The 23,991-nt window shown below is 41.4% G+C and overlaps 1 protein-coding gene across 3 annotated transcripts in view; it reads right to left on the minus strand.

Moving 5' to 3' along the window:
• PREP (prolyl endopeptidase) overlaps positions 1-23,991 on the minus strand; it is a 129,865-nt gene that overhangs the window by 49,014 nt on the left and 56,860 nt on the right. For 2 of the 3 annotated variants that reach the window (NM_002726.5, XM_011535925.4), the window contains exons 8-10: positions 11,083-11,274; positions 6,598-6,795; positions 1,434-1,537 (exon numbers count right to left, since the gene is read on the minus strand). In NM_002726.5, coding sequence (NP_002717.3) covers positions 1,434-1,537; positions 6,598-6,795; positions 11,083-11,274 — 494 coding nt within the window. Of the gene's footprint in view, positions 1-27; positions 881-1,433; positions 1,538-6,597; positions 6,796-11,082; positions 11,275-23,991 lie in introns of those variants that run through there. The other variant, XM_005267044.4, reaches the window with a different exon arrangement.

The raw sequence follows: 23,991 nt of genomic DNA on the forward strand, positions 1-23,991 counted from the left end.
AAACAAAATAAGCAGCAGCCAAATAAATAGGAAACTAAAAGTCTGTTACATTTATTTCTAACGTTGATTGAAAAAAATAGATTATATTCTATTGCCAGATCTTGAATATACCTTATCTCTTAATAATCCCACAGGAATCCTAAAAAACAGATACTATCAATCTCTACTTTACAGTTGAAAAAACTGTGGCAGAAAGGTTAAATGACTTGCCCCACGTGGATTTCAGGCCTGTCTGACAGAGCTTCTTGACCCTGTATGTCTTCTCGGCCCTGTATGTCTATCAAGAATGTTGTACTTTTAAATGCTATTTACATAGATGAAGATTCTGCAAACTTTTTCTTAAAGGCCATATATTAAATATTTCAGGCCTTCTGGGACATAGAGTTTCTGTTGCAACCACTCTAAGTGCCAAAGCAACCACAGGCAATATGTAAACAAATGGGCATGTGTTCTCCAATAAAACAGGAGGCCAGTTTGCCAACTGCTGATGTAGAACAGGGGCTGATAAATCATAGCTCTACACCAAATCCAGCCCACCACCTGTTTTAGTAAACAAAGCTTTATTCATGATCTAGATGTAGCCTATCATCTAGACCATTTCTAGACAATTGAAGGGTAATTCACCAAGCTATAATAATGCCCTAGTTTCACAGAAACATTGTGGGGAACATCCAGCGCTCTTTATTCTCATCTTCCTTCACAAACAATGTTCTGATTCCTAATCTGTGGCCTGTGTGGTCCAGCCCTCCAGGTGGGAGGGGCCTTGATAAACACCTGGTGCCCTATTGGTGACCTCTCATTGCAAAGGAACAGAGACATTCTTCGTCATCATCAATCAACCAGTGATTCAGTTTCTGGAAGACTCAGTACCCTTGGGGAGCTGAAAAAACAAAAAAGGAGATTCTTAACCTGAAAAGATGGTGGCCAAAGACGAAGCTTGTGGTGACATGACAATTAATTAATTTATTCATTCAAATGTTTTATTGAGTGTCTACTCTGTGTCATGCAGAAATGCACATGAACTTCAGACTAAAAACACTGACTCACAGCACTTAAGTCCATACTTTACATAGAGCAAATCCCCATGTTATTTACAACACCAAAAGACCTGAGCTAGAACACAAACCATATTCAAGCAAGCAGATTGACACAGACAGAAATGTTACAATAGGAGCCCCAAGAGAAAGAACTCCAGCTTCCTGTCAAGAGTAGCAGCCATAGGAGCAGAACCTGCAGGCTATGGGAGGGCAGCGACTATGCCAGCTCACTGCTGAATCCTGAGTGTTTGGCTCAATGACCGTCAACCGTGGGGGCTACAAAATACTAGTTGTCATGAATTACCTCCACTGCTTCTGATAAGCTACAGTGTGAATGGCCCAGCCTGAAAGTCAGACTTCCTAACTCTCACATTAATGAGATCATATTCTCCATACCTGGACTGTCTGGTAATCAGAAGCATCAATTCCTTTTACGGTCACCTCTCGGAAAACTCTTGGCTCCAGCTCCTCTTTGGTAAGATCACAGTGATAAATGATACCTAAAAAGTAGAATAAGGCTTGGTTTAGTCTACGGGACTCACTAGATTCAAAGGGGGCAAGGATCACAAACCACAACCAAATGCCAGCAATGGCAAGAGAGGATCATTTATCAGGGACTTGGTTAATCCCCACCACAGTCGAAGGCTCACTGCAGACAAGTGCTTAGAACAGAGTCTGGCATGAGGGGTGCTATGTAAGTGTTCATCCTCATCATCACCATCTCATGCAGCCTTCTTTTTTATAACACTAGTAAGTATATACATTTTAGAAGATTCTAATGCATTCTGTGAATATGAGAAAAGGTGAGAAACCTAATTGCAGAAATTTAACTCGTCTTCCCCAAGCTGGGTCACTTAGGAATGCAGGTCAAAAAAATGGTAGACTTCATCTAGTGCCATTTGACCTGGGAGGTGACTGACAAAAAACTCAAGTGATTTGCCCAGGGTCAAGAGCCAGTCAGGGGTCTCTTGACAAACACTCTGGGGCTCCTGCTACCTGGCACCTACCTATCTGTGGACACTCATGTGGACAGCAATCACGGACCAAAGATGATCAGTAGATATTTCAAAATTGCTTTTCCAATTTGGATTGTCCCAGTAATTGTGCACGACACAAAATGATTAATATACATACTAAGAATTCCAGCGTATGTAACACTAATTAAACATTTCCCAAATTTAATGCTACTACTTTCTAACATTTAAGAACTAAATCAAAGAAATAATAAGACAAGTCATTAATGTTTGAAAACAATGACACTGCTGTGGTTTATAAAACAGAATTAGTCATCCACAGAGTGGCTGGTGTGGAAATAGCACCTCCCCACATAATACTTTGAGCATATGCTGTCAAGTATATGAAAAATTGATTTAGTGATCCCATCAGTACTTGCTGGAAAACCAAAAACCAAACGGTACTCCCACAGAGCACATTTAAATGGAATAATCATTATTAAAATGTCAGTCCTTTCTTTCTTCTCGACTCCTCTGTGTATGCACTTCACTAACAGCTGGGAAACAATACGCTGCCCCCGACCGGAAAGGAGTAATACATTTAGATCCGTGAACAGCACAGCTGCTAATCCTTATGAATGTTGTCTCAATTCTCATGATTGCAGACAAACTGTTTTAAGGTTACCATAACAGGGTATACGATTAACGCTGACAGTAAGATGTATAACATGACTCAAGTATTGACTTTCTTAGTTTAAGTTATGCTTGGATATTTGTTAGAATATACCTTTATATATACTTCCAATTGCATTCTGTGAGCATGTATTCTAATTTACCAGATATAATGAATACTGTACTTGCCTAAATAAATGTAATCTTGGGGTAAAAGGCTATCTCTTGTGGTATATTTTAATTTTTAAGAGCTTCTTGATCAGTACCCGGTGCCCCCCACAAACACAAAAAGCATGTGAATCCTTGAAAAAAAGTATAAATAATCAAACAACAACAACAAAAAGACAACGTGCAGACCAAGCATGCACCATTTGAGCACCTGCCTCACCCTGGCATCACCACGACCTGTAGTACAGCAAATGACAAAGGCCTAGGGAGCCAAAATTCCCAGCTCTGAAAGTTGCTAGCTCAGTGACCTGAGACAAGGCACCAAAGTACTAGAATGCAAGTTCTGTAGTGAAAGACAATGAGTAGGAAATATACTCTAAATGCCTGTTTATCTAGAAAGGTTGAGACATCAAATCTAACCACAGAATGAAATAAATATGCAACAGGGGCTGGTTACTGTACACGGAAAGAGTTTCAAATGCCTGACCTCCCTATTCTTCTGTCCTGTGCACCAGAAGTGGTACCTTGAAGGAGGCTGTGTTAAACCTGAAGGTACTGGCACTTAATATATTTTATCGATACTTTCTGTTTATAGATCCATCTAGGTTAGCCCATTGCATATTCACAGCATAATGTGAATCCCTATAATCTAATGATGCTTTGTGTCCCATCTGATTTGGCTCAGAGGATAAGAACAAGGAAGGTGGGGTTTGAAGAAAACATCCTAGACTCATAAACCAGAGTTGGTCAGGTGATCGCTAGGAAATAAATTTCAAAGTTTAAGGGTGAAAAAAGAGAACTGAACTGTGGAAGTCCCTTAAGGCCAGAGAAGGTATCTGGACTTGAGAAGGAGGCAGGGAGATCAGTTGGTATGTTCCCAGTGTAATCTGAAATAAATGTAAGGAGAAGTAGGAGTAGTCAGGAGAAAGACAGACAACTCTAGGAGAACCTACCAAAACAAGAATCAGGGGATCCGAAAAGTCACGTATGTAAAAAGGCGGCAAACTTTGTAACCCATGGAGATTTTGTTTTAACTGATTTTAGGTTGGGTTTTAACATTATTCAAAGAAAAAAACAAAAACAAGTCTCAAAAAGTTTTGCCTTTCCCTGATATCCGTGAAAGGTTTTTCTATGATTTCTCACCCCTGACTCCCAGAGCCATGCATATGGGACTGCTCTACTGGATTATTACAACACGCAGGTCTGGAGCTCACCCTAGGCAACTCTCCAAGGTTCCACAAGTACAGAGTTCACCGGTTCAACCACTAAGTGGTTTGAACCACAGAGAATAAGTGCACTGTGCTCTAAGCTGCTATGGCTGCCTGTTTTTTTCCAAATGTGACTCAAGGTGCCAAAGTAAGTCATAAATGGCTTGGGCTCAAGATGTGTTTTCACCATGTACCTCCAAGGAAAACAAAGTCAGCTGGTGTGCACCTGCCAGAGTTATCAAATGTCTGCAGCAGGAAGCTGGAGCTGCAGTTATTTGTGACCCTGGGGCTTTACATATAATTGAGTACCTCTGCTCTTTACTGTAGTAGTGAACAGCTAGCCTTCAGACACCAGTGCAAGACTACTTGTGAGCCTATGTGTATATACCCACACTGACAATCCATGCTTTCATGAGATCTAATCTAATTATCTGATGGCTGTTTTTGCATTTGGTCTCACAAGATCTGAATCCGGAAGCCCCATTCTCTGGTTTTAGAAATCAAATTGCATTCGGCAGAGAAAAGAGAAAAATGGAGGCAAAACTAGTAAAAGGAGACAGACAAAGCTTGGTCAGAAAATTAAAGCTTGGTCAGAAAATGCCTGGCAGTACAGAACGAGGAACACACTTCTCTTTTCAAATTTCACAGCCACAGTCACGGGTAATATTTCATTGTTTGGCACAGAACCCAGCATTTTACACTTGGACAATAAGCCCTTTCTTCCCCAGGTAATGATGAGCTTGTTCCTGACATAAATGGTCACATGCGGTCACTGAAGGAGGTTTACAGGCCTTTGGGGACTCCAGCTTTTTTTAAGAGCAGGTGAGTCACCCTCACTGCCCTCCTCATTGCCCTTTATCCATTTAAACTATTTAAGATACGAAATTTTCCAAAGTAAAACTTCTGTACCCAGTGTAAATTTGAGGAAATTAACTGTGGGCCCTGCAGCAGTGGGCTAAGAATGGCTATCTAGAAGAAATGATTTTCCTCATCTGTCCACTGGCTGCTGCTGTACTCCAGGTTCTAGGGGGAAGAGGGAATGGGGGGAGGTGCAGGACACCCTGAAGTCGAATTCTCGAACGGTCACTTCCTGGCTTCTGGCCCTTGCATGGTTTCCACATTCTTGTGGGTGCTTTTCCTAGCTTCTCTTGATCCGCTGCAAGGTGCTTGGGAAAGTAAAGCCTGGCTAGGTTTTCAAGGTATACTATCAGACCTATTTACAGAACATCATTCTTTTGGTTTTAATAACCCTGACAGCAACCTACCACCACTATAAGATTCCTTATGGATTGCCTGCTCTGTGACTCAGAGGCTCAAAATAACAGTGATGAGACATCACTGTCAACTGGCCAAATCCCAAGAGGAGGACAGGGCCACTTGAGCACCTGCCTTGCTCTCCCCTAAGACTGCTTTTTTTGTCTAATGACCAAACGACTGCAGCAAAACTGAGTGGGACAAAAAGCACTTTGGAGGAGTTCAACATATGTGCATAAGGAAAGTGCAGACTTTTTTCAGCCAGATTGCTTTTAGGACAGGGTCTGCCTGGTCAACTGCAAACTGCTAACTGAGCCAGACTCCTGGGACAAATCAGTGTGTGTATGGCCATGACGCTACAAAAACAGTGCAGATGGACAGAATGGAGGAAAAAAACAAAACAAAGCAAAATGAATGTGACCAATTTTTTTTTTAAGTTAAAAAGAGAGCTATGTTTACTTTGGGGAAAATTAACCCGTACCATGAAATGTAAAACCACAACTTAACAAGTGTTTCCCTTTCCTACTAGAACCAAATAACACCCATGTTTTCATGATGTAAGACTATACTTTTAGAATTACATTTTATTTCAGTTTAACAACAGCAGAATTGATTCTCAGCTTATTCCAGAAAACATTTTTTGTCAGATGTAGCTAAAGATTTTACATTTTGTATCTGCACTGTGTTCTCATGCATATAGACCAAAGACTGAATCAAATGTTGTATTCATTGGTACTAATTTTTTTTTTTTTTGAGATGGAGTCTCACTCTGTTGACAGGCTGGAGTGCAGTGGCGCGATCTCGGCTCACTGCAACCTCCACCTCCCGGGTTCAAGTGATTCTCCTGCCTCAGCCTCCTGAGCAGCTGGGACTATAGGCACGCGCCACCATGCCCAGCTAATTTTTGTATTTTCAGTAGAGACGGGTTTCACCATTTGCCCAGGATGGTCTCAATCTCTTGACCTTGTGACCCGCCTCGGCCTCCCAAAGTGCTGGGATTACAGGAGTGAGACACTGTGCCTGGCCCATTGGTACTAATTTTTAATCAATCTAGAACGTTAGCTGTTCCTGCCTCCAGAGGAACAGAGACTTGGAATATAAGATTAATGAGAGTGCCATTTTAGGCGTTTACATTTCCCTTTGTTCTGGGCATCTGTTCTACCGTTTTATTCCCATTAAGTAATTTTGGCTATAATACAGCATATGTGATTTTCAATAACATAGCATTATACTTCCATTTCCCCAAAGAAACCCAAACACCAGTCGGATTTTTAAAGTGAACAGCAACAGTGAAAAAACACTTACCTGGAGATAAAAAGGAAGTAAACTGATAGAAGATTTCAGTGTCCTTCTTCTGACCGCTGTACCCTACAATGCTGCCGACATCGAGCGGGAAGGTCTTAAGGAGAGCACCAGTAGTCAGGTCATGGAGCTGCAGAATGTTCTTGACGTCATGGAGGTAGCATAAGACCAAGAAGTTGGACCTGACACAAGCTATCCATTCTGAAAGGATAAGAAGAGAAAAAACCTAATGCAATTTAAAAAATTAATGAAAACACATTTAATTGAGCAACAGTTCCAGAGCTACACATAGGGCTATGCAGCAATGAGACTTGCAAAGTCACTTTTACATTTTTTTTTTTTTTTGAGACAGGGTCTTGCTGTGTCGCCCAGGCTTGAGTACAGTAGTGCAATCTCAGCTCACTGCAACCTCTACCTCCCAGGTTCAAGGGATTTTCCTGCCTCAGCCTCCCAAGTGGCTGGGATTACAGGTGTGTGCCACCATGCCTGGCTAATTTTTATATTTTTAGTACAGACGGGGTTTCACTATGTAGGCCAAACTGGTCTTGAACTCCTGGCCTCAAGAGATCTGCCCACCTCGGCCTCCCAAAACTGTTAAGATTACAGGCGTGAGCCACCACGCCCAGCCTTATAATTGGTTTTAATCATTTATCTAGTTCTCAACATATTCCTTTAATAAATGACTGTTTTATTTCCCAAGGAAATAAAATACTCTTGGGCCAGGGGCTTTTGATGACCTAGATAATGTGTGGAATAGTAACCCTGCCTTCCTATTTTGTGCCTATTATCATGCTATAGGAGCTATAAGGAGGAAAACAATAAAAGCCAAATCACGGTTCATGTCTGACAGGATTGTTTATTAGATAAAAATGTAATAAGCCCTTGTTATCCACCAGATTCCCTGCAAAGTGCTAGAGAGACAAGTAGTAAGATGAGGTCGATTCTGCTCGTGAGACAAAATCATATAAAAATGCAAGTAATAAACCATAAACAAGGATAAGTGACTGGTGGGTTGAGGATCCAAAACAAATGACAGCCCTAAAGCAAGGGCTGAATTGAGTCTCAAGTGCAGGAGTGTGGAGATGGAGGGGAAATGGGTGCTAGCAAGAAAAGCACAGCATCCTACTGGATGAGGTGCAGGAAGATAGGCCACTCCTGGCATGAAGGCCACAGCCAGGAATGAGGAGAGGGGAAAGGAATAGAAAGGACAGAAGGAAGACTGGTAAAGAGAACAAACGAGAGATCCGTTTTCAAGAGGAAGTGTTGTTCAGTTTGGGGCAGATGGAGATGCTGGTGGTGGCCTGATAGGCCATCCAGTGAGCCAGGTAGAGAGCAGTTTAGTTACCTGTGACTGTGGAGCCACTGTCTGAACACAAGGGCAACATAAAGATGGCATTAATAAAGGATGCACGTGTCTAACAGCTGAATGCAGAACAATGGAAGTCTACGGAGGGGAGAAGAGTAAGAGCACTATTGCAACAAGCCGGGGAGAACACCACATCAAGCGGGAGATAAAGTCTGGGCAGGAAAGAAAACAAATGAAAGGTATTTCCCAAGAAGAATAGCCAGGGCTTGATGCCTGCAGGGATATGGAGAGTAAGGTAGAGAAATGAGTTCTTAACTCCCAGGGCTGCAACTTTCAGTGACAGCGTTCAGTGACAGAGCTGGGAGAGCAGGAGTGAGAGGTGATGAGGAAAGGAGAAAACGAAGGGCAAGCACAGAGGTCTGCCTGAGGTAGGGCCAGGTCACCCAGAGGGAGAGACACCGCAGCAAGTGGAAGTGAGGACAGGGCTGTAGGGGACAGGTCACATGTGCTGAACAGACAAGCCTTTCTTGGGTTTCATGTGGAAGGGGGGGGTTCTTGACACTGCTTATTTTTATAACCCAAGAAACTAGCAGTTCATGTTTTTAGGATGCTAGAATTTACCCACATGAAAAGATGTTGGAAAGAGGGAACTCTGAGGATCACCAGGGGCCTTGATCTTGGGCTGCTGAGATTAGTATGGCAAACTTTGTTTTCTCAAGTGAGGACATAAAGAAGAACTCATACAGCCAAAAGTAATTTGCTCATTCTCCAATGCACTTTCTTAAAAAACCTCAATCAGGCAACATATTTCATGTGGCTTAATGTTTTAAAGAGACCAAAGTATGGGGGAAAAATGAAGTAAATTATAGCTGTCAAAGAATAATCAATCTGTATTAACTATGAGCACATCAGAATTATAAAACAGACAGAAGTGAATAACAAAAGGACAAGGTGATTTGTAGACTGTCATTAATAAAAGCTCTGACTTTACCGCTGTACTTTATGACTCATCTCTAGTTTTTATTCTCAATAGGGCGCTCTGTGCTAATGATATATGGCACATTCAAATTCAACCATGCTTCTCTTTAAATTGATGAGTTCTAGTGAACACTGAAGGTTTCCCCTTTCCAGTCTGAAAATCTTATAACCTTTCAGAAGGAAGGTTATACAAATATATCACCCCCCCAACAAAATCTCCTAGCATTAATTTGCATTTCATTACATCTATAAGATGGGATGTCACCTTAAGGCATAGTTAAAACCCCTCTTTTGGCTTTAAATGGCAGAAATTCAGATGCCTTGGGAAACAGTTACAACATCCATGATGGTGTCCTATACAAGAATCACTGTTTAATCCTGACTTGTGCCGGAAAACTCCTGGAGCACCTATATGAAGACTTATGCCACCCAAGTCTCATTTGGATGCAGCAACGCATGAGGTCAGTGCATGATGAACAGAGTGCTGTACCTGGCATGCAGGAAGCCCTCACTAACTGCTGGCTGTAACTACCCTTAGGGGGACATCCCTGCCTCAGTTTGGACAGAAGCCATCAGGCTATCAAAGTGACTAGAAACAGATTCACTAAACAAAGATACTGAAATAAATGGTCAAAAATCTGTTCTGTGACTCGTGGGTCCCTCGTCCAAATATAAATAAGGGTCAGAATGTGAACAGAGGGTTTTGAGGAGACAGGTGATAAGATTTCCTCTTGTTCTTGCCTGTAAGTCCCCCACCCTATGGGAGGGTGACAAGATTATTACCTTCTACCAACCCCAGCCTGACACAGACAGAGTATCGGTGCCTGATCCAAACCTGCAAGTTAACGGGACTGTGCCTGGAAATCCAAAAGGCAGGAGAATGGCCAACTACTTCAGAGGAAGAGCCTGGAATGGGTTGCTGTCTCAGGGTTACAGATGTGAATTTCAAGCAGGCATGCAGTTGTCTTGGGTCCTGTCCAACAGAACTGCCTACAGGGGTGTGGAGATCTAAGTACAAGAGGGTTGAAGAGTGCAGTCAGGTGCCCAGGGGCTGAACAGACTCTCAAGAAAAACCCAGGAGTGCTTTCTTCAGGGCCAAGGGACCTGCAGAAAAAAGGGACCAGCAGAAAGTGCCCATAGCAACCTGTGACCCCGAGAGAAGCAGCTGGAATCAGCTGCTCCCCTGCCACCCCCAAGCAACGCTAGGTTTAAATACCTTCCAGGCACAGAAAGCATACCACCTTGAGCAAGGGAGAAATAGTTCCTTATTGATCAAGGACCTGAACGTGGATCTGCCTGACTCTAAGACCTGTGCTTTAATTCACGGAAAAACACATTTTAGGACTGCTTTATCTTAGACAGGGCCACTCTGCAGATCTCAAAGGGGACTTTTTTTCCTCATTATATACCATATATTTTGCATTTCTAAATGGTCCTATTTTATCCTCAATCTACCCAGCAGCAGCAGTTCACCACCACCAAGTAACCTCATTGGCCTAATAGTACTGAATTCTTCTTTTGTGTAAAAAACTGACCCCAAATTAATGAGTTTTACTGTAGTCAAAATCAACTTTCATGCAATAAATAATTTATAAAGCAGCATATCATTTTTGGAAAAATCACAGAGAATGAATAAAAGGGAACAAAAAGGCTCTCTGTGAAACACGACTGATACGGAAGTGACGTTCTCAAGAGGTTAATGTAGTTCACTGCACAAAGCAGCAACTGCGAAGGGTTTCAATTCAATCTGACAATAGTCTATTCCCTTTTCTAATAAGAGGGCTCTAAATCCACACTAAGATCAACAACAGGGATAATGCAAATAGCCAAAGGTTACTCAAAAGCTTAAAGCTAAGGATTCTAAATCTAAACAGTTTTAAAAATTAAATGTTCATGATTATTACCAGATATTAAGTATACAAAGACAACTGATATATTTGTTTAAAAAGCAGTACTTTGGAAGTCTGAAATCCTATCTTTACAATTTTTATGAAGACCTTGCATTTCTACATGATATAGTACTAAGCTACAAAGATATCACACAATGAAAACTTGGATGAACTATTTAGACACTTCATTCCTGATGATTACAGGTTGAAGGTTTTTTACCTTGTAACAGATCACTAGAGAATGAGAGACGCACTAACTTGTTGATGTTCTCATCAAAAACAAGAGCACAATTTTCAAGTCACATGTGTTCTCACCTAAGACATCTTTCTCATGCTCAGGAACAAGTACTTTCCACTTAGACTCTTCAGGATCCCTGAAGTCAATGTTGATCACGCGATAGTTGGGAGACTGGCGATTCGTCTTGAATGTGAACACCGTCCCCTCATTGGTCACGTAGTCATATTCCCCTTCAAAGTTGTCAATCAGTTTTACCCACTTCAGGATTCCTGGCAAGAGACCAAGCATTCTCATCATCTCTCTAATGTTTAAAAATGGTGTTGCTTTGTGTGTAGGGAGGGGAGGGTGGATCTTTCTTATCCTCAAAACATAAAGCAGAGATATTTGGAAGATCTAGGGCATGAAAAGGAGCAAGAACCAGTTGTGAGTAAATTGAAAAATGCTAAGGAGCCCCTGAAAAACCCAGCAAGGACGGGGGAATGAAGGACCTCTCTTCCCGGCCCATCACCCCCACAAGATCTGGTAAATCCTCTTCTAACTGAGCCGGCCTCAAATCTGGGCACTTCTCTCCACCTCTCCTGCCATCACACCATTCCAAGTCGTCGTCGTCTCCCTCCCAAGTCTTTGTGTTCTACAGCAGTGGCTTCCAACCACAGACACTTTCACCCCCAGGCAACATCTGAAAATGTCTGGAGACATTTTCGGCTGTCACAACTTGAGGGTGGGGCTACCACTGGCACCTAAAGGGTAGAGACCAGAGATGCTGCAATGCACAGGACAGCCCTATAACAAATTAGCAGCCAGCTAAAAAGGTCTACAGTGCCAAGTCTGAGAATTCTTGGTCTATAGCATTAGCTTCCTGCCTGGTCTTCCCACTGTCACTCTTGATTTTCTCAGTATGGCAGCCACCACAGTATCTCAATCTTTTAAAGTGATCCATGTTAGTGCCCTTAGAAACTTTCAATGACTTCTCCATTATACTTGAAATAAAATCCAAATTCCTTCCCATGGTCTTGCATGCTACAGTCCTTTCCCACTTAGCCAACTGCAGATGGTTCCAACACTTGCCTCACTTCCTGTCCTTTACTGGCATTGGCCTTTATTAGATGCCACTTTTAATCGGCACCCAGTTTGTTTCTTCACAGAGCTTCTCTCAAGATCTATTCATTTATTTGTTTTTGTTGAAAGATGAGGTCTCTCGGCTGGGCGCAATGGCTCATGCCTGTAATCACAGCATTTTGGGATGCCAGGGAAGGCAGATCACTTGAGGTCAGGAGTTTGAGACCAGCCTGGCCAACACGGTGAAACCCTGTCTCTATTAAAAATACAAAAATTAGCTGGGCATGGTGGCACACGCCTGTAATCCCAGCTACTTGGTAGGCTGAAGAGAAGAACAGCTTGAACACAGAAGGTGGAGGTTGCAGTGGGCTGAGATTGCGCCACTTCACTCCAGCCTGAGCAGAGTGAGACTCTGTCTCAACAACAACAACAACAACAACAACAGAGATGCGGTCTCTCCATGTTGCCCAGGCTTGAACACAGTGGCTATTCACAGGCATGATCATAGTTCACTGCAACCTCCAACTCCTGGGCCCCTAAGATCCTCCCTGCCTTAGCATCCTGAGTAGCCAGGACTACACGTACACAACCTAGCACCCAGCTCTTTCTTAAGATACAATTATGTGTTTATTGGCTTATTTTTTGTCTTTTCATTCACTGTTTCACACTTGGCACAAAACTGAGTGGCAGGTAACTTGAAACATACAAAATAAAACTTGCATGGCATAAAAGGGACATTTTCCAGTCTTTAATACTAAGAACTAGAGATGATCATCACTAAAGTAAATCTTCAATACGTCCGTATCATCAACATTTAAATAGCTCACTAAATGCCACTTTTAATAAAGTTGAAACCACTAAAATCCCTTGGAAAAACATCTGTTTTACCATGTGTTTGACACAGATGATGTTCAGAGAACACCTCAAAAGTTCTATAAACAAAAAAGTTCTATGACTTCTAAACTACTAAAAGGCAATGACTGATCTTAGCTATTCTCCAATTATCTACTTTTAATTTCACAGTGAAATTGCTACACTAATTTGGGTAGTTCATTTCCATTCCTTGAATCTCTCAAGGCAATTTTACATTCATTATCTCATTCATCTCTGCAGCATATCTTCATATAATTTGTTACTGAATTAAACTTAACAGGGAAATAAATTCCACCATAGAGTTCTGTGGTCATATATGTTTGGATTAAAACCCCAGTTCTAACACTATTTAGTTGGGTGACCTTGAGCAATCTCTTTATTCCTTGCTAAGCCTCATTTTCTTATCTGTAAACTAGGAATAATAGGTAAATATAAAAATAGGGCCAGGTGCAGTGGCTCACACCTGTAATCCCAGCATTTTGGGAGGACAAAGCCGGAAGACCATGAGGTCGGGAGATTAAGACCATCCTGGCTAACACAGTGAAACCCCGTCTTTACTAAAAAATACAAAAAAATTAGCCGGGTGTGGTGGTGGGCGCCTGTAATCCCAGCTACTCGGGAGGCTGAGGCAGGAGAATGGCGTGAACCCGGGAGGCAGAGCTTGCAGTGAGCCAAGATTGAGATTGCACCACTGCACTCCAGCCTGACAGAGTGAGACTCCGTCTCAAAAAAAATAAAATAAAAAATAAAAGTAACTATCAGTACCTTCCCCTTAATAAAAACTCAAATTTAAAATAAGTGATTTGAGGCTGGCTATGGTGGCTCACATCTGTAATCCCAGAACTTCGGGAGGCCGAGGCAGGTGGATCACTTGAGGCCAGGAGTTTGGGACCAGCTTGGCCAACATGGCGAAACCCTGTCTCTACTAAAAATACAAAAAAATTAGCTAGGCATGGTGGTGCACACCTGTAATCCAAGCTACTTGAGAGGCTGAGGCAAGAGAATTGCTTGAATCCAGGAGATGGAGGTTGCAGTGAGCCGAGATCACACCACTGCACGCCAGCCTGGGCGACAGAACGAGACCCTGTCTCAAGAAAATATACATAAAATAAAATATTCCCATATGTTATTGAAAAGAATGTGTATTCTGAAGTTGTTGGGTGTCAATATGCTAAACATGCCTATTAGGTTGTTAATCAGATTGTTCAAATCTTCTATATATTTACTGATTTCTTTTAGCCATTCTGTCAGTCACATAAAAGGTCTATTAAAAAATGTTTCTCTAGGCCTGTGGATTTGTCTGTTTTTGCTCATATTTCTATTATTTTTTGCTCCCTGTATTTTGTAATCATGATGTTAGATATACAAAGAAGTATCACATCTAAATAAAACTGAATTGAACCTTTTATTGAAGTATTATCTCTAGTGATGCTTTCTGCTTTAAAGTCTACTTTCATATTAAAATAGCTACAGCATTCTCATGGTAGTATCTTAGACCAGTTATTATTCACTTTCTCATTAGCTATGTGATGCCTTCAAACAGGCATTTTCCCCAGCTTTTCTAGTTGTCTTCTGCAAAATGGTTTGCCTCAATCTGTAGTTTATCATTTTTGGAAAGAGTCTGCTCTTTCTGTGCCTATAAACTTCCAGGTCTATAAACTCAATGTTTGTCCACCTCGTGGTGGGCTGTACTCTAGGTAGTTCCTTTATATATCTATATTCTATTTCACTAATTATCGCTTTGGCTGTGTCTGATTTCCTCCTTAGCCTAATAACTGAATTTTTAATGTTAATAATCATTTTTTTTTTAATTTCCAGAAGTTCTACTTAGTCATTTTCCCAATCTGGCAGGTCATTTTTTACAGTATCTTATTTATTTCTCATCCTTCCAAGCTTCTTGTTTATTGTTTAAAAGAAGCATCACACTGTGTAAGTATATTTACCGTATTCGTTTTTCACTAGGAATCTGATCATTTGACTGGCCAGCAGCCAGTGTTTCTGCTGGCTCTAATTTCTCATGCTGGTGAATTTCTTCATCTGATTTGTGACTTTACTGTGAACTGCTGATTTTCCTTGAAACATTATTTGTGGAAATTCTTGGAGGCCTGGGTTGAAGTAGCAGTCTTTCAGAGATGCACATTTCCTTTCTTGCCTCTTGGGATGCAACCAACCTGACAGCACTATAATTAAATCCTTGGCATGAGGATTTTGGACCTCATTGGTACAACCAAGTCAACCTGAACTCATGTGATGGCCTTTCTCATGTTTTAGGAGAATTCACATCCTGTCTTCCCCGACCCCTCCTAGTGCCTAGGTAAAGATAGGCAAGTTTCCTTACTGTTCACTCCCCATCCCCAGCCTCTCCACTGGCAAGTTTATTTTTATCAGTCATCCTTACATTGACAGTATGTCTCAGCCGACTCCCAATTATGCTTTATTTCCTATCCCCCTTTTCCTCTTTCCCCAGCAGAAACATTCAGGGACAATCCAGCTCACATTCCAGCATTCCTGCTTTCATTTCATCTTTGGTCTTTATGGATTCCCTTCTTTCATGCCAACTAAGCAATGTATTTGGAAAGATGCTTTATAAATTTTTTACATTTCAGTTGTTTCAACTGGGAGGTTATTCAGAGTATACAAGCTGTCAAACTCTGAGAAACAGACACCGTTACAACTAATTTTCAACTAACTTGAAAAAAGGTTCATAGAACTCTGCATCTGAGTTGCAATTAACTTTGTTTATCCAGTGACAAACTACTAACCTCAAAAGACTACTCAGCAGGTGATCCACTCAAAGGTAATTCATCTTGGTGTACATAAAACAATGCTTTAAAAAAAAATCCCCATTCCTTAAAAGAAAAACAATTTAAGTAAAATACTAGCTGGTAATACAAAATTTGAAGAGAATAAGAAATGTACATTTGTTTATAATAAGAACAATGAAACAATTTTCTGGACTATGACATTTGTAGACGCAAAATCTTGGCTCAGTGAAATGTCAGATTCCTTAAATGTTCCCCCAACAATAAAGCATTTCCTGATGTGAAACCTTTATTTCACAAAATAACCACCTTATGGTTTCTGCCTGACAAGGTCCTGGAGCCAGTGATATTTGTTATGACCCCTCCCTACCCAAAGTCACTAAAGTATGCACCAAAGGCAAAGCACAGTAGAAATTTCCTTCAGTACTGCTGTCTAATCAGGTAAGCCTGAAGATGTGGCACAGATGAAAATTATTCAAGCTCCAAGAGGGAGGTTCCAAGACAGCCGAATAGGAACAGCTCCAATCTACAGCTCCCAGTGTGAGTGACACAGAAGACGGGTGATTTCTACATTTCCAACTGAAGTACCGGTTCATCTCACTGGGGCTTGTCAGACAGTGGGTGCAGCCCATTGAGCATGAGCCGAAGCAGGGCGGGGCATCACCTCAACCAGGAAATGCAAGGGGTCGGGTAATTCCCTTTCCTAGCCAAGGGAAGCCGTGACAGACGGTACCTGGAAAATTGGGACACTCCCACCCTAATACTGCACTTTTCCAACGGTCTTAGCAAATGGCACACCAGGAGATTATATCCCGCCCCTGGCTCGGAGGGTCCCACGCCCACGGAGCCTTGCTCGCTGCTAGCACAGTAGTCTGAGATCGAACTGCAAGGCGGAAGCGAGGCTGGGGAAGGGGCATCCGCCATGGCTGAAGCTTGAGTACGTAAACAAAGCGGCTGGGTAACTCAAACTGGGTAAAGCCCACCACAGCTCAAGGAGGCCTGCTTCTGTAGACTCCACCTCTGGGGGCAGGGCATAGCCGAACAGAAGGCAGCAGAAACTTCTGCAGACTTAAACATCCCTGTCTGATAGCTTTGAAGAGAGTAGTGGTTCTGCCAGCATGGAGTTTGAGATCTGAGAACGAACAGACTGCCTCCTAAAGTGGGTCCCTGACCCCTGAGTAGCCTAAGTGGGAGGCACCTCCCAGTAGGGGCTGATTGACACCTCATAAGGCCGGGTGCCCCTCTGAGATGAAGCTTCCAGAGGAAGGATCAGGCAGCAACATTCGCCATTCTGCAATATTTGCTGTTCTGTAGCCTCTACTGGTAATACCCAGGCAAACAGCATCTGGAGTGGACCTCCAGCAAACTCCAACAGACCTGCAGCTGAGGGTCCTGACTGTTAGAAGGAAAACAAACAGAAAGGACACCCACACCAAAACCCCATCTGTACGTCACCATCATCAAAGACAAAAGGTAGATAAAACCACAAAGATGGGGAGAAACCAGAGCAGAAAAGCTGAAAATTCTAAAAATCAGAGCTCCTCTTCTCCTCCAAAGGTACACAGCTCCTCGCCAGCAACGGAACAAAGCTGGATGGAGAATGACTTTGACGAGTTGAGAGCAGAAGACTTCAGATGATCGGTAATAACAAAATTCTCCGAGCTAAAGGAGGATATTCGAACCCATTGCAAAGAAGCTAAAAACCTTGAAAAAAGATTACATGAAGGGCTAACCAGAATAAACAGTGTAGAGAAGACCTTAAATGACCTGATGGAGCTGAAAACCATGGCACAAGAACTACAAGATGCATGCACAAGCTTCAGTAGCCGATTCGATCAAGTGGAAGAAAGGGTATCAGTGATTGAAGATCAAATGAATGAAATGAAGCGAGAAGAAAAGTTCAGAGAAAAAACAGTAAAAAGAAACAAACAAAGCTCCCAAGAAATATGGGACTATGTGAAAAGATCAAATGTGGTCTGATTTTTCACGTGTACCAGAAAGTGATGAGGAGAATGGAACCAAGTTGGAAAACACTCTGCAGGATATTATCCAGGAGAACGCCCCCAGCCTAGCAAGGCAGGCCAACATTCAAATTCACGAAATACAGAGAACGCCACAGAGATACTCCTCGAGAAGAGAAACTCCAAGGCACATAATTATCAGATTCACCAAGGTTGAAATGAAGGAAAAAATGTTAAGGGCAGCCAGAGAGAAAGGTCGGGTAACCCACAAAGGGAAGCCCATCAGACTAAAAGCAGATCTCTCGGCAGAAACTCTACAAGCCACAAGAGAGTGGGGGCCAATATTCAACATTCTTAAAGAAAACAATTTTCAACCCAGAATTTCATATGCAGCCAAACTAAGCTTCATAAGTGAAGGAGAAAGAAAATCCTTTACAGACAGACAAACTCTGAGAGATTTTGTCACCACCAGGCCTGCCTTAAAAGAGCTCCTGAAGGAAGCACTAAACATGGAAAGGAACAACCGGTACCAGACACTGCAAAAACATGCCAAATTGTAAAGATCATTGATATTAGGAAGAAACTGCATCAACTAACAGACAAAATAACCAGCTAACATCATAATGACAGGATCAAATCCACACATAACAATATAACCTTAAATGTAAATGGGCTAAATGCTCCAATTAAAAGACACAGATTGGCAAATTGGATAAAGAGTCAAGACACATCAGTGTGCTATATTCAGAAGACCCATCTCACGTGCAGAGACACATATATGCTGAAAATAAAGGGATGGAGGAAGATCTACCAAGCAAATGGAAAACAAAAAAAGCAGGGTTGCAATCCTAGTCTCTGATAAAACAGACTTTAAACCAACAAAGATCAAAAGAGACAAAGAAGGCCATTACATAATGGTAAAGGGATCAATTCAACAAGAAGAGCTAACTATCCTAAATATATATGCACCCAATACAGGAGCACCCAGATTCATAAAGCAAGTCCTTAGAGACCTACGAAGAGACTTAGACTCCCACACAATAATAATGGGAGATTTTAACACCCCACTGTCAACATTAGACACATCAACGAGACAGAAAGTTAACAAGGATATCCACGAATTAAACTCAGCTCTGCACTAAACAGACCTAATAGACATCTACAGAACTCTCCACCCCAAATCAACAGAATATAAATTCTTCTCAGCACATTGCACTTATTCCAAAATTGACCACATAATTGGAAGTAAAGCACTCCCCAGCAAATGTAAAAGAACAGAAATTATAACAAACGGTATCTCAGACCAAAGTGAAATCAAATTAGAGCTCAGGATTAAGAAACTCACTCAAAACTGCTCAACTACATGGAAACTGAACAACCTGCTCTTCAATGACTACTGGGTACATAACGAAATGAAGGCAGAAATAAAGATGTCCTTTGAAACCAATGAGAACAAAGACACAACGTAGCAGAATCTCTGGGACACATTTAAAGCAGTGTTTAGAGGGAAATGTACAGCACTAAATGCCCACAAGAGAAAGCAGGAAAGATCTAAAATTGACACCCTAACATCACAATTAAAAGAACTAGAGAAGCTAGAGCAAACACATTCAAAAGCTAGCAGAAGGCAAGAAATAATTAAGATCAGAGAAGAACTGAAGGAGATAGAGACACAAAAAACCCTTCAAAAAAATCAATGAATCCAGGAACTCGTTTTTTGAAAAGATCAACCAAATTGATAGACCGCTAGCAAGACTAATAAAGTAGAAAAGAGAGAAGAATCAAATAGATGCAATAAAAAATGATAAAGGGGATATCACCACTGATCCCACAGAAATACAAACTACCATCAGAGAATACTATAAATACCTCTTTGCAAGTAAACTAGAAAATCTAGAAGAAATGGATTAATTCCTGGACACACACGCCCTCCCAAGACTAAACCAGGAAGAAGTTGCATCCCTGAATAGACTAATAACAGGCTCTGAAATTGAGGCAATAATAGCCTGCCAACCAAAACAGTCCAGGTCCAGATGGACTCACAGCTGAATTCTACCAGAGGTACAAAGAGGAGCTGGTACCATTCCTTCTGAAACTATTCCAATCAATAGAAAAAGAGGGAATCCTCCCTAACTCATTTTACGAGGCCAGCATCATCCTGATACCAAAGCCTGGCAGAGACACAACAAAAAAAGAGAATTTTAGACCAATATCCCTGATGAACATCGATGCAAAAATCCTCAATGAAATACTGGCAAACCGAATCCAGCAGCACATCAAAAAGCTTATCCACCATGAGCAAGTGGGCTTCATCCCTGGGATGCAAGGCTGGTTCAACATACACAAATCAACAAACGTAATCCATCATATAAACAGAATCAAAGACAAAAACCACGATTATCCCAATAGATGCAGAAAAGGCCTCTGACAAAATTCAACAGCCTTTCATGCTAAAAACGCTCAATAAACTAGGTATTGATGGGATGTATCTCAAAATAATAAGAGCTATTTATGACAAATCCACAACCAATATCATACTGAATGGGCAAAAACTGGAAGCATTCCCTTTGAAAACTGGCACAAGACAGGGATGCCCTCTCTCGCCACTACTATTCAACATAGTGTTGGAAGTTCTGGCCAGGGCAATCAGGCAGGAGAAAGAAATAAAAGGTATTCAATTAGGAAAAGAGAAAGTCAAAATATCCCTGTTTGCAGATGACACGATTGTATATTTAGAAAACCCCACTGTGTCAGCCCAAAACCTCCTTAAGCTGATAAGCAACTTCAGCAAAATCTCAGGATACAAAGTCAGTGTGCAAAAATCACAAGCATTCCTATACACCAATAACAGACAGAGAGCCAAATCATGAGTGAACTCCCATTCTCAATTGCTACAAAGAGAATAAAATACCTAGGAATCCAACTTACAAGGGATGTGAAGGATCTCTTCAAGAACTACAAACCACTGCTCAACGAAATAAAAGAGGATACAAACAAATGGAAGAACATTCCATGCTCATGGATAGGAAGAATCAATATTGTGAAAATGGCCATACTGCCCAAGGTAATTTATAGATTCAATGCCATCCCCATCAAGCTACCAATGACTTTCTTCACAGAATTGGAAAAAACTACTTTAAAGTTCATATGGAACCAAAAAAGAGCCTGCATTGCCAAGACAATCCTAAGCCAAAAGAACAAAGCTGGAGGCATCACGCTACCTGACTTCAAACTATACTTCAAGGCTACAGTAACCAAAACAGCATGGTACTGGTACCCAAACAGAGATATAGACCAATGGAACAGAACAGAGCCCTCAGACATAATACCACACATCTACATCCATCTGATCTTTGACAAACCTGACAAAAACAAGAAATGGGGAAAGGATTCCCTATTTAATAAATGGTGCTGGGAAAACTGGCTAGCCATATGTAGAAAGCTGAAACTGGATCCCTTCCTTATACCTTATACAAAAATTAATTCAAGATGGATTAAAGACTTAAATGTTAGACCAAAAACCATAAAAACCCTAGAAGAAAACCTAGGCAATACCATTCAGGACACAGGCATGGGCAAGGACTTCATGACTAAAGCACGAAAAGCAATGCCAACAGAAGCCAAAATTGACAAATAGAATCTAATTAAACTGAAGAGCTTCTGCACAGCAAAACAAACTACCATCACAGTGAACAGGCAACCTACAGAATGGGAGAAAATTTTTACAGTCTACCCATCTGACAAAGGGCTAATATCTAGAATCTACAAAGAACTTAAATTTACAATAAAAAAATCAACCCCATCAAAAAGTGGGTGAAGGATATGAACAGACACTTCTCAAAAGAAGACATTTATGCAGCCAAAAGACGCATGAAAAAATGCTCATCATCACTGGCCATCAGAGAAATGCAAATCAAAACCACAATGAGATTCCATCTCACACCAGTTAGAATGGTGATCATTAAAAAGTCAGGAAACCACAGGTGCTGGAGAGGATGTGGAGAAATAGGAACACTTTTACACTGTTGGTGGGACTGTAAACTAGTTCAACCATTGTGGAAGACAGTGTGGCGATTCCTCAAGGATCTGGAACTAGAAATACCATTTGACCCAGCCATCCCATTACTGGGTATATACCCAAAGGATTATAAATCGTGCTGCTATAAAGACACATGCACACGTATGTTTATTGCGGCACTATTCACAATAGCAAAGAATTGGAACCAACACAAATGTCCATCAATGATAGACTGGATTAAGAAAATCTGGCACATATACACCATGGAACACTATGCAGCCATAAAAAGGGATGAGTTCGGCTGGGCGCGGTGGCTCACGCCTGTAATCCCAGCACTTTGGGGAGGCCGAGGCAGGCGGATCATGAGGTCAGGAGATCGAGACCATCTGGCTAACATGGTGAAACCCCATCTCCACTAAAAAATACAAAAAAATTAGCCAGGCGTGGTGGCGGGCGCCTGTAGTCCCAGCTACTCAGGAGGCTTAGGCAGGAGAATGGCGTGAACCTGGGAGGTGGAGCTTGCAGTAAGCCGAGATCGTGCCACTGCACTCCAGCCTGGGAGATAGAGTGAGACTCCGTCTCAAAAAAAAAAAAAAAAGGATGAGTTCATGTCCTTTGTAGGGACATGGATGAAGCTGGAAACCATCATTCTCACCAAACTATCGCAAAGACAGAAAACCAAACACTGCATGTTCTCACTCATAGGTGGGAACTGAACAATGAGAACACTTGGACACAGGATGGGGAACATCACACACCAGGGCCTGTCGTGGGGTGGGGGAGGCGGGAGGGAGAGCATTAGGAGATACACCTAATGTAAATGACGAGTTAATGGGTGCAGCACACCAACATGGCACATGTATGAATATGTAACAAACCTGCACGTTGTGCACATGTACCCTAAAACTGAAAGTATAATTTAATAAAAAGTAAAAAAAAATCATTCAAGCTCCAATGAACAAAAAACAACAGAACGGTGTACATTATTGTCTGCCACCAAATTCTGAAGCATTAACCTTAGCCATAAATACATACTACAAGTCATAAGCTCATTCAGAATAAGGAATGTGGCTGGATTCACAAAAGTCTAGCTATAAAATTGGAAAAATAGTCCAAAGTATAGGCCCTCACAGGGCCGGATGTTTTAAATGAGAGCTCTTGAAATTCTTTTGCTCTCCTGAAACCTTGTTCTACAGGGCTTTGGTAGAGAAATAAATCAAGAGAAAAGGTATTTCAGTTCAACAATGGGGCTCATTCATTTTTGCTACTCACAAGTTAGAACACTGTTGATTTAAATGGAAAACAGGAAAATTACTTTTTAAAAAGAAACATGATTTAACTCTTTAACCATTTCATTTTTTGCCTACCTTCTCTGAGGTTCTTTTGTCTATAAAGTGGCATTATTCACTCTGAAGCCAAAAGAAATTTCAATTCCCAAACCTCTCTGCATTCAAATGTTAAAATTACTTTTTATAAACCTGCTTCTTGGTGGGGACTGATTCATTTATTGAGTGAAGATTAGTTTAAAATAAATTGTCTTATGCTTTTCCTAGAGCAAAGTCATACTTTTATTACTTTCTTTGAAAAATCATCAACTAAACTATATTAACTACATGTCATAGAAAATGCTGTGCAAGCTCCCTAATAATGGCAGCTAAAGTGCTTTTATACTTTACAAAAACTCTAAGGGCTGGACATGTCACGACAACAAATGCAAGGAGTGGTCAGGCACTGAGGCTGCAGGGCGCATGGGCTGCTGTTGTCCTGAATGACTTCCTTCTGTCTCAGTCTGCCACATGATTAACAGTTAGAACACAGGCTTGGGAGTTAAGCTGACATGGATCCAAATCTTTAAATGGCATTAGGAAAGCTAGTTGGCCTCACCAGCCTCAGTTTCCTGGGGATAATAATCCGTGCTCCTCGGAAGCTGTTGAGAAGACTGAATGAGAGGCCTACATTTGTAGCTCAGAACCTGACACACAGGAAATGTTACATAAACAGTATTAACTATTATTCCAAATAACCCCAGTGTTCAAGTGACAAAAGTAAACCGAACATTTTAAAATTAGTATAAATACTCATTTTATCACTAGTATTTTGTCTTTTATATCAGATTTCCTATTTTGGGTCTTGTTTTTATACTGTCTTTTGATGTCCCAATTCTTTTTCGTTTTTCTGCATTCCCACTCTGACACACAGATTTCCTACAAACTCCCTGTCTTCTCTCTGAGGCCCTCCTCAGAGAGGTTTGCTTTTAGCACTCAGATGACTTTGCTAAGCTTTGGACAGCTCCTTTGCTTAAAGCTTCTCGAA

Source organism: Homo sapiens, chromosome 6 (genome assembly GCF_000001405.40).
Source record: "Homo sapiens chromosome 6, GRCh38.p14 Primary Assembly".
Lineage (NCBI taxonomy): Eukaryota > Metazoa > Chordata > Mammalia > Primates > Hominidae > Homo > Homo sapiens.